Genomic DNA, 12159 nt, shown 5'->3' with positions numbered 1-12159 from the left:
ATATCCTTAATGTTTCAGTCTCCCTGTCTAAAAAATGAAAATTGGACTATCATTTTACGGTCCATGTAGGATCTGTAATTAAAACAGCTTTATTCACTACCAGGTGAATTATCGGTGTGGTAGCAAACAGCTAACGATGGCATCCTCTAGTTTCTGGAGGATATCCTTCAAGAAAAAAATGCTACCCTGAAAGACACACATGGAAATTCATTTCCTCTCTCCTTTTGGACATTTTATTCTACTCATAGCATATTGAACTATATATTAAATGTCTCCAATAAGGATTTCATTTAGATTTAATATGTCAGAATTGTAAATGTTAATGAAATGCCAAAAGAGTGATTAACAACATATGCTTTGAAGTCTCTCAAATATGTAACCCCCCAGAAATTTTATAAGAAAAATGTCCAGACATAGAACTTTACCCTGCAGTTTATTTTTTTTTTCAGAGTCAAAATATCTCTCAAATGCTCAGTTCTGAACTAACAGAAAAACAGCAGGAGGATAAAAAAAAAACAAGGCTGAATTTCAGTCACACAGATCTCAGCAAGAAGCAAAAATAAACTCTTTAAATGATGTTCCTTTTGCACGGCTCCCAGAGGCAGGTTTGGTAAGAAATAGTTTGAAAGTATACATATTCATTCCCACTTCCCCCAACCTCTACTTTGCCCTGCTCTGTCTCTGTTGATCTTGTAACTTTTTCCATGTTAATTAAAGATTCCTGGGACTTCACTCTTTTTTTCCCTTCTCTGGGAGCCACCTAAGAACACAAATATTGAAACAGTAGCAGTCAGCTAATTTTGCATTATTCTAAATTAAGGAAAATATTCTAATTTAAGGAAAACTTCTAGATCACCTAGGAGTTTAATGGTTCAAGCTCCCCCTTTATCTGTGGAATCTAGAAAAAAGCAGTGACTGTCTGTTGACACAACTAGTTTGTAACAAAGCTGTGGTGGATCATAGGTCTAAGACCAGTACAGTTGTCCCCCAATCCCCCATGCTACCCTTTCATCCCAAATTAAAATAAGACAGTTTCCCTCGTAACTCACCAGTGCAGTAAATCCCATGCTATGGCATAGAGTGAGACAGCTTCAACCATGACATGAGCGTTATGTAGTTGGGGTGGGGGGGGGTCTTACAAGTTCAGCAGCTGAGAAAAATTAAGGGGAGAATTGAAAATTGTCTCCAGCTGGGCGTTAGCATGTGCTAAACAGGGTTTTGATGTTAAAGGGTTTTAAGTGCGTGACTGGTACACCTCAGGGCAAGGCCCACTCTTCCCCGAGAATCTGTTCTTGCTTTTCTTTCTTTTCTTGTCTAATCAGTCCCATTCAGTTTTCAATTCTCTTTCTCACTTTGCAAAGTGCCAGACAAATTACTGGTATCCTCTATGAACCTCTGGTTTCTTTTTTGTTTTTGAACTCATACCCCCTTAAGAATATTTCAGGGTAAGCATTGCTCAAAACACATTTTATAAATTTTTAGGAACATAATTAAAGCAAAGACCTTTGTATAACTTTTATGACTCTTGATGTTCCACATTCTAATTCTCTTCGGGATGTGCATATTTTCTTAATGTTGTCCTCTTATTGTTTCTCCGAAACTCTTTTTACTCTTCAGTTTCAACAACATATCTTCTGAACTATAGGTTGTTTTAAATATTAGGATTATCAGTACAAACTTGGTGATACTCAACTGTTTCTGAATGACAAAGAGGGCAACTTCATTCGGTTTAACCTAATGTTTTGTAAAGCCATCTGGAATACACAAAGTCTCATCTGAGCAGAGACATTTTTTAAAGTAGAGAAACTATGTAGAAAAACCATGATCTTTACTGAACATTATAATGTAGAAATTTAAATATTTTAAGAAAATTTTTGTTTAAAATGTATTTTTGTGGTTTGCTTATGGTAGGTGATATGGTTTTTCTGTGTCCCCACCCAAACCTCATCTTGAATTGTAGCTCCCATAATTCCCATGTGTTGTGGGAGGTACCCAGTGGGAGGTAATTGAATCATGGGAGTGGTTTCCCCCATACTGTTCTTGTGGTAGTGAATAAGTCACATGAGATCCATGGTTTTTATAAGGGATTGCTTTTTTTGCGTGGTTCTCATTCTCTCTTGTCTGGTACCATGTAAGATGTGACTTTCACCTCCTGCCATGATTGTGAGGCCTCCCCAGCCACATGGAACTGTAAGTCCATTAAACTTCTTTTTCTTTATAAATTACCCAGTCTCGAGAGTGTCTTTATCAGCAATGTGAAAATGGACTAATACAGTAGGAGTGATATATGTCTCAGTTTCAACAGTCTCCAGGTTTTGCCTTTTGCTCGGCATCCTAGCTAGTTTAGCATTAGCTCTGGATTTTTTATTCTCTAACAAAGCATTAGTATTAATGGTTGCACTAAACTGATAGGACCACATTGTTGGGTTGAGTTTGGGAGACCTCCACTTTGTACCCAAGGGTTCTGCTGTGAGCTCTTCTAGTCTATATGAGACTCACACATAGTGAAAGGAGGTCTCAGCTTGACATGTAGTTAAGGCCCTCTTTCTGGATACAGCTAATTAATGCTTCCATTTCAAGGGAGGAATGCCAGATGCTCAATGATATAATAAAGCGTGTTTAGATACGAGCAGTGTGGGGTAGCTAATTCTTTCTGGCCGTGAGTGGAGCTGGGAGAAGCTCTGGAAGTTGCTGTGCTCATGGACCCTTGCTTCACTAGCCAGTTGTGACATGGCCTGAGAGACGTGTGAGGCTGTCAGGCTTCCAGTCAGCAGGATCGACCGCAAGGGTGGGAAATTCTATTAGACGGACATGATATAGAAGCCAAGCAGTCCTGTACACTCTACAGCGTATAGAGAATGGAGTGAGTCGTGTGCATGATTTTGCTATGGTATTTTTGCTACTTATTGTATGGTATAGATCTATAGCCACTATTTCATTGCTTTGTAATACTTTTTTATTTTTGCAATAAACCCTTTTGACAGAAATAAGTTAAAAAATAATCAAAATGCCTGTTTAATAACAGTTTAAGTACTAAGTTTTCATTCTCAAGAAAGTTGGTGATGACTCTGTAACTTGCACCAAGTATTTGTCCAGGGGCACCATCTACCCCGGAGGCTGTGGTGCTCTCACTGACCACATAGAAACAAGAACACACAAATCTGCTGAAGTGGCATCAGCATCTCCTAGAAAATTAGTAGTTATTTTAAGAAGATGGTACCTGAAGACAATAATTTAGTATCTGTAGTTCTAGAAGGTGCTTTTTACGTATAATGCTTGAAGCTTGACTTTTCATGTATGGTTTTAAATGGCTGTTCTTCCAATTTAATTTCTTTTTGTTTTTAATTCCAAGTTTTTCTGCAGGCATAATACAAAAACCAAAGTAATAGCAACTATTGTGTTGGCCCCATGTAGAGAATAAAATATTCACTAGCAGTTACATGTTGCCAATTTTATATTAGTATATTCTACCAAGTTTCTTATCTGAATGACAGAAGACAAAAATGTTATTTGAGAGATATTTTCTCAATTCTGCCAAGATGGTATATAAGGAATACTATTCTCATGTGCACAAGAAAAGTTTTTGATACATATAATGAATGCCTTAGAGCATTAGAGCTAATAGGTAAATTTAAATTTTTTGTTATAAATTTTAAATATAAAAAAATATAAATAAAAAGATGTCCTTTTCTACCTGCCATCAATTTTACAAATGTTTAAATTTTATATTAATTGACCTGAATGTCTTATAAAGTTATTACATGGTTTTTTATAAATAAGTTCTCTGAAATTTAATTGTGTTTTGGTCCAAGTCATTTGGGAATCTTTCTTTAATTAAAAAAATTTTTTTTTTGAGAGAGGGTCTACTTTTGTGGCCCAGGTTGGAGTGTGTTGGTTTAATCAAAGTTCACTGCAGCCTTGAACTCCTGGACTCAAGCAGTCTTCCTGACTCAGCCTCCTGAGCATCTGGGACTACAGGTATATGACACCATGCCTGGCTAAGTTTTTAAATTTTACCATAACTTTAAATGATTTGCATACAACAAAACTTTACCTTTTGAAGATTTTAGAAAACTGCAATTACTAAAAACAAAATTTGCAAGCAGAAATATCTTGAAAATAAAAAATACAGAAGAGGAACTGACTTTGAATACAAATGCAGGGGCTTACCTGGTCAAATGAGACTGAGAGCTCAAATAGAAGCTCTAATTCTGAAATTCAATGGAAATTTGAAATATACCTATTTGGGGGAAGATTTTTTAAATGGAACTTTTATTTTTAATTAGATGCACTTATATTCTCTAAAAGAATGGAATTAAGTTGAGATGACTTATAATTTTACAGCATTTACATTCTGTGAGACATTGAAAAATTATAAATAGAGATATGTTATTTGAAAGGTTTGAGCCTATAAAACATTTGTCAAATAAAGTAATTTGGGCTGGGTGCATTGGCTCCCACCTGTAGTCCCAGCACTTTGGGAGGCCGAGACAGGCTGATCGCTTGAGCTTACGAGACCAGCCTGGGTAACATGGCAAAACCCTCGTCTCTACCAAAACGAAAACGAAAGTGAGAACAAAAACAAAAACAAAAATTATCCGGGGGTGGTGGTGCGTGCCTGTCATCCTAGCTACTCGGGAAGCTGAGGCGAGAGGGTGGTTTCAGCCTGGGAGGCAGAGGTTGCATTGAGACTAGATTGCACTCCTTCACTCCAGCCTGGGTGATAGAGCCAGATCTTGTAAAAAAGTAAAATAAAATAAAATAAAATAATTTGGTTGGAATCCAAAAGCAGAAACTTTAAGAATCTTTGAGCTGAAATGCTTACATATTTCCTTGTAAAAAAATTAGAATTAAGAATATCCCCTCTTTAGCAGAATTTGTTCTTAATTCCCCTAAGCACTTACAGTGTTTTCTCAATAAAAAGTAAAATGGGCTAAAAGAAGAATTGATAATGCCAGTAATTACAAGTTGATGAAATGAAAATTCAGCTTTTAAGCAGATTGTAGAAAACTTTAAGGAAAAACTGAAAAATAACAGTACTAACTTAATAAAATATATATTCTTCAAAAAAATACTCCTGACACAGTTTTAGAGGCAGCTATGACTAATAAACTGATTAAAGTATATAAATATATGCCAAGTATATATTACTTTGCTTATGTTTTTAATATTCAGAAAATTAATATAAAGTTATCTCTATCTTTATTTTAATTAATTTATTTTTTGAGATGAGGGTCTTACTATTGCTCAGGCTGGCCTTGAACTCCTGGGCTCAAATGATTCTCCAGCCTAAGCCTCCTGAGTAGCTGGGCTCACAACATGCACCACCGCCTCCGGCTAATATAAAGAAGTTTTTTAATTTTTGCTTCAGTGCATATAAATAGATGATATTTTTGTCTTTTAGAAAGATTTTTTGGAAGTCTTTTTTAATTGAATTATGTTTACATATCTACCAATATTATACAACCAATTATTAAATCAAGGCATAACCTGTGGAACAATTTTCCTCTTCCTTTCCAATGGGCTATGTTCTCCCCTTTCTTCACTGCCATTTCCAGCTTGATCTGACCCGGAAGAATTTCTCTGAACCTTTTATCCATTATGGAGCATCCATCATCTGAATCACATACTGCCTGTAGCTTTCAGTGGTATACAACATGTTTCATAGCTTTTGTGTCCTTAAGTAAGGTTGATGCTCAAAATGTGTATTGTTGGCAATATGACCACACCATATTGAAGGAAGAAATGATAGACAGTCTAGTTCTAGATAAAGGACAGGATGGTATACAAATAAAATGTATGGCTGTGGCAAATCATGGGTTGTTAAAATCCTCTTTCTAGCAGCGGTTAAAACTTGAAATAGTTTTAGTGTTACAGATGACGTGAAAAGTTGGGTGGTGGGAGGACTTCTTTAGTTGGCCAAAAAGGATGAAAGGCAGGGCTAGGAAAAAGATATGTAAGAATATAAGAATTGAGAATAGATGTGTTCTAGAATAATCACATTGGTAAAGATGGTATTTTCGAAGCCTGTTAGGAAAAACAATGTCAAAATCAAGGACATTAACAAAAAAGAAGAAGAGCTTTATTGCAATAGGAAATTGGGGAAGAGAGGAAATGGAAATGAGTTTTGAAAAAGTATATTTATTTTGACAGCATTTCACCTTAGCAGAGCCTAAAATGTGATGCGTTAATGTTTATAAACAAAAACTGACGCAGAAGGAAAATCGGCAATACAGTGGTAATGCAGAAAGGAAAGGATGGATTGTTGTAAGTAATATTACATAACAAAGTTTTCAAAGGGGCTTCTTGGAGTACATCACTTCTAGTATCAGCTTTCAGAAGCAACAACAACAGAAGGCCCTAGTGATTTTAAAATGAAGTTATTGATAGAAATATGTGCTGGAAATCAAGGCACAATTACCGTTCAAAGATGTATTATTATGTTAAGAATACTTTGAATCAATCATATTTTTGTACATCTATGATAATGTCTTAAAGGGAATGTAAGCTCCCATTTCCTGTATGTGAGGCACGTTACTTGGAAATACTGGTTTTCTGACATCTTTATGTCCCAACTATCTACAGAAATATTAAAAAACGCAAATATATAAGTAGATAAGATAGAGTTTAAACCTCATCTAGGCATGGAAAACATGGAAAGAATGATACATGTTCCTTCTGGATCACGGTTTCTGATTACGAAGGGTGAGAGAGGAGAGAAAGTTAACTCTGGCAAATAAATATCTTGAAAGTCTGATAAGCTTCTTGGCTTCTCTTATTTTAAAAAATAATTATTAGGAGGAAGCTAGGAAACCTCGGTATGTTGTAGAAAGGACTTTCAGAATCAGACTTAGGAGACTTGAAATTTTTTTCCTGCACTAGATAGTGACCTTGAACAATGTAATACCCCTCTGGGTCCTAATTTCTTCACCTCTCAATAAAGGAGTTTGAGCCCAATGACAGTTAATACGATTTCTGACACAGGATTTTAAAACCCATGTAGCGATAATATGACGCAGTTATCCCAATGAGAAGATGCAAGTGGTAGAGCTGATGAGAGCAAAGGAACTGTCCAGGGTGCTTAGAAACATATGGGTCCATTCATGCTCTGGAGTTATGACCAGAAGCCACAATATGACTCCATCTGTTATTGATCTAGCATTTCTACTATGTTAAATACACAGTAAGTTACTTTGTCAGTATCAAGTGGATATAATTCAATAAGAGATCAATTTCCTTTTGTTTAAGGGGATAAATTACATATTTAGAGTCACCTCTGTTCTGTCTCCAATTTGTTGCTGATCTTTAGACCAGTCATTTCATTTATTCATTATTTGGAGCAGGGAATCCTGACAGTTTTCATGGCAATATTGATTTTTCAAGAGTCATACTTGATTTTTCAAGAGTCATCTTAGGAGATATGAGAATGCGCACTTCACATCCTGCCTCTTGTTTAACCTTGTTTAACATGTAGGAGGGAGAGAGACTTTGAAAAACAAGCATTTGACCATGGCTTAAAAATAAAGATAAAGGAAAGGGGAAAAGGAAGACATGTAAGGCAGATGAGGAGAGTTAATTATAATTAAGCAAGCCTCAGTGGCTGAACCAGGCTATGTTGAAAGTGGTTGGGGGTGTATGGGGAGGGGGTGGTTAAACTAGTTTGTCACAGCACGACCTTCTGCCCCAGCACTTGCTGCCACAGCTTCTTGCTCATAAGCTACCTTGCTGCAGAAATGGAGAGGAGCATGAGACTGTGATGCTGGCAAGTCGTAGTGAAATGTAAATCTACTGGGTGAAAAGAGAGGAGGTGTGAGCTCCTTGGAGCTGAGATACTTGTACCAATTCTATGTCCTGAAACTACTCTTGTGCCTGTTGCTTCTTCCCGGTTCTTCCTTCATCTCATGCCCTTCTGATCTTTTTTATTCTGTGTTCTATGCTGAATTTTAAGTCACAGTTTTCATCCCATGGGCTCTGGGGCATTGGATTGTTGTGAGAATGAGTGGCTTTTCCCCCAGTTAATCCTCTCACTGGCCCCAGGCCTGAGCTGCCTTTTCACTCTTGCATGCACAAGTGGCAGCCAGGAATTCAGTCTGGTAATTATCACAGCACCAATAGCCTCTAATTAATGCTTCTCCATTTCAGGCCTTATAGCCGACTCACCATTTTTGTAAAGCTCACATAGAGGACTCCATGGTTTGCTGGACTTGGAGGGATATCCAATGTACTAATACCACATCAAACTCAGAGTTATTCCTTCTTTTCAGTGACTGAGACTTTATTTCTTGGCCTGCCTAACTCTTTCTTCTCTTGAGAAGTGTTTTCTCCCAAGATGCTCATGAGATCCTCATGCAAATAAACTTCTGGTAGGCAAAGTTCAAATACACCAGTTACGCACCCAGATATATGTCCTGAAATACCAGCATCCCAGTAATTGTCTAGTTCAGGTTCAAGGTGTATCCCTATATGAAAGAAATATTCTCCTCCAGGACAGAGCAAAGGGCATGTTGACAGCAGACTTTCAAGTTGCTAAATTTGCCAGGATCAATATTTAAGCTAAGGGCTGTAAGCTAGGAATCTGGCTATAGGTTCAGTGTGACAGAGGATATATTTAGTCAAGTGTGATGCCCCAAATAACAGTAATGTCATTGAGGTAATGCTGTTATGGCACAGAAGATCTCACGGAAGGGTTTGGTAAAAACTAGACAGTGTCAGGACACCAGCTTCTTAGAGAAGGATTTTGGTCTCAGGAGAGGATTTAGAGAATGCACAAGGTAAGGAAGTCTAGCCACGGGGACTTAGGAAATGGAGAAAATGAATAGGAAGTAACCAGATAGACTCATAGGTACCAGGACTCTTCCCAGGTACACTGGATTCCAGGTTACAGCAGGACCAAAGAGAGGGTAGGTAAAAGATGACTTAGAAATTCTGGGAATGTATGAACAGAAGATTTATGTTTCTGTGTACTTAGCCTGGGAACAAATGTGAAGAAACATTTTGAAGAAAGATATTTAGCTCATTTCTCACCACTTTGAGCTTAAGCCTTTTATAGCGTAGTCAAAAGAGACTGTATAGTAGGTGGTCAAAAATATGGGTTTGGATTTTGCTTGAGAAAAGATGGGATTGTTTGATACCCTGCATACTATCTTTTAAAAAATTTTCCTCCTACTTTCATGTTTCTTGTTGTGTTTTTTCCCCCTTATTTAAACTACTTCTTATATAATTACTGAGTTTTCTAGGTATTTTGTAATTGGAAGGTTTTCAGATAATCAGTTTGATATGTTGTTGGAAGTGGCTTTGGCATTCATGGGCACTTAATAATAACACTATTAGGTAAGTGAATAAACCAAAGCTGAACATAAGGATTGCACATAAGGGGAAGATTCAGATGAAAGTCTCGGCAACATGGGCTGATAGAAAAGTCTAAATAAGTGGAAGGCAACCAGTGCTGGGCTGGGTGACAGAAAGTAAGGGGGGTGCTGTCACATGGTAGAAGTGGTCCCTCTGATGGGGGTCCGCAGGTGAGCAGGAAGAGGTGTGAGAGGGGAGAGGCATTTGGAAGCTCTCAGGTCACTTTTAAGTAAGCAGTTTCCATCAGTGATGGGAGCAGAACCTAGATTATGAAAGATTGGGGAATGTGTGGGAGGAGATTAGAAAATAGGAGCTGGGAACAGTAACTCATACCTGTAATCCCAGGACTTTGGGAGGCCCAGGGGAGAGGACTGCTTGAGCCCAGGAGTTTGAGATGAGCTTGGGAAACATAATGAGACCCCATCTCTACAAAAACATTTAAAAAATTAGCTAGGTAGGGTGGCACATGCTTGTAGTCCCAGATACTTAGGAGGCTGAGGAGGGAGGATTGCTTGAGCTCAGGAGGTGAGAGAGAGAGAGAGAGAGAATAAAATAGGTATGATTATCTGAAACCTTTAAAGCTTTATGCCATTTATCACCATTGCATAACTTACAGGTGATTATAATAACATAAGAGGCTGTGGTGAATGAAGCTATTAAATTAGAACAATTTTAATTTAAATGTTAAAATGCATACAACATTGAAATGCCAGTGCCCTAATGAGGCAAGAGCCCTTTAAGCAAGAGGGTTTGGAAGGTGGTTTATAGAGACATCCCTAGAATCTTTTAAGGACCATGAAATATTTATTCAAAAAGTTGTCATAACTCAATTTTTTTCGGGAATATTTAGTTCCACTTAATGAATGCATTAAGCTCAGCTGTGTTTCTCAAAGAGCCAGCTGAAGGAAGTACAGAAGTGGGAACAGAAAAACAGAAATAGAAGACGAGCAAAGGTGAGAAAGCAAATGCAGAGCAGGAGGGGTGATGGCAGCTTCACACTGCTCATAGCGTTTGTTTATTCTCGAATCCCGGGAGTAGGTGATTTATTAAATAAGGCCCTCTGCAATCACACCGCCAACCTCTCCACTAAAAATAGCAGTGGGCTGGTTTGAACTTCATGTCAACCTCATATAAACTGGCATCAGTTGTGTCTGCTGTCCTTTGACGGTGTGAGGATTGGGACTCTCTGGGGCTGTCCATCCCTGTGCGCACCTTGGTTGTGGGGCCAGTACACTCCCTTCCGCCCACTTCTCATCAGCCCAGCAGAGTCCAGTTCCTGGTGGGCTGGGGAGCAACAAACAAGGCCAGGGTGCTGAGGACTCATTAGTGACCTGCCTGGCTGCCAAGTGTGCTGAGACATCAAGCTGCTTGTGGCAGTCTGTGGTTTGCTGGGAGGAGATTAATGAGGGAATAGAATAAACACGCACATTGGTTTCTGATAAGAGGAGGGCAGACATTTCAGGACAGGCATACAGCCTGCCTCACAGTCATCACTTCCCCTGGGGCCCATGTAAACACACACACTCACATGTGCTGATGCAGACTTCTTCTCAGCCCCAAACACAGCCAGCTGATAGGGAGGAAGGCCAAGATATAGGAAACATTTCTTTCCTCAGATCTTCAAACTCAATTATACCCATCCAAGAAACGAAATAGATCTTCTTATAACATGAGCTTAAAACTTGATTAACAGTAAGTTGAATTGGCAAACACATTTCTGCTGAGGATGTTGATTGGATAAAATATTTAAATGATTTTATACATGAAAAAATAGAGTTGGAGAGTATATGACTTATTTCAAGATTATCCAACAGTAGTGCTAATGTTTCTTTGGGAGACATGGACATTTTTGTGAATCTGATGAAAGCTAGAGACAGTGTCCCCAGAAAAATGAGTGCATGCATGCGCGCACACACACACATACACACACAAACACACACAGCTAGAAAGAGATAGAGACAGAGACAGAGATAGACCTACCGATGCCATTTCAGGAGGGTTGTATTGTCTCTGAAGCTCATTTATGGACTCCAAAATGGGTTCAGAATAAAAATCCTGGCCTAGCATATCATGGAAAATCTCACGTGGGTTAGAGAAATCTGAAAATTTGGTGAGAGTGCCCTACTAAGAATTTTGCTAGGTACTTGATGGATATTATTTCTACTTTTAATAACAATTGTGCAAGGTAGGCACCATTTACCTCCCTTTTACCAATGAGAATATTGTGACTGAGAGAAGCAAACTGACTTAGGGAGACGGGGTTTCCTAGTGCTTAGGAGCCTGGGCTCTGATGTCAAATTACATGGGTTCTAATTCTGTTTTTTCCACTGATCAGTTAGAAGATTCCAGACAAGTTTCCCATCCCTTTGTGTCTCAGGTTCTTCAGCTGTCAGTGGGAATAATGATGGAACTTATTTCATAGGCTCTTATGAAGATTAAATAATATAAGACAAGCTAAGTGCTTAGAACATTGACCTGGGCACAGTGAGCATGAGATACATTTTGTTGTAATCGCTGTTTAGGTCAAGGATCATAAAGCTATAAGTGGAGGAACCAAAAATCAAACTAGGTTTTGTCTGGCTGGAGCCTGTACACTTTCCTCCACACCTCGCAGGTTTCTAAAACCTGTTTTACATTTGGCCTTTGGCAAATCATGTAATGTTTCCAAACTTGAGTTTCTGCATCCATAAGATATAGGCAATGATAATAATAATAAAACACCTTCCTACTTTTTTGGAAGGATTAAATATGACAACAATAAGTACATTTTAGTAAACTGTCAGGTACTGTGCGAATATCCAAGGTTGTTAC

At 38.2% G+C, this 12159-nt stretch overlaps 1 annotated feature.

Annotated features, from left to right (window-relative positions):
- Positions 4563-4652: an enhancer, noted in NCBI's record as "active region_5714". NCBI's record gives its function as "activates an Ori minimal core promoter by ATAC-STARR-seq in GM12878 lymphoblastoid cells {active_cell/tissue: GM12878}" and the evidence as "EXISTENCE:reporter gene assay evidence [ECO:0000049][PMID:35858748]".

Source organism: Homo sapiens, chromosome 11 (assembly GCF_000001405.40).
Source record: "Homo sapiens chromosome 11, GRCh38.p14 Primary Assembly".
Classification (NCBI taxonomy): Eukaryota; Metazoa; Chordata; class Mammalia; order Primates; family Hominidae; genus Homo; species Homo sapiens.
Note: the sequence above shows the minus strand (reverse complement) of the source record. Positions and strands in the feature narration are given on the sequence as shown.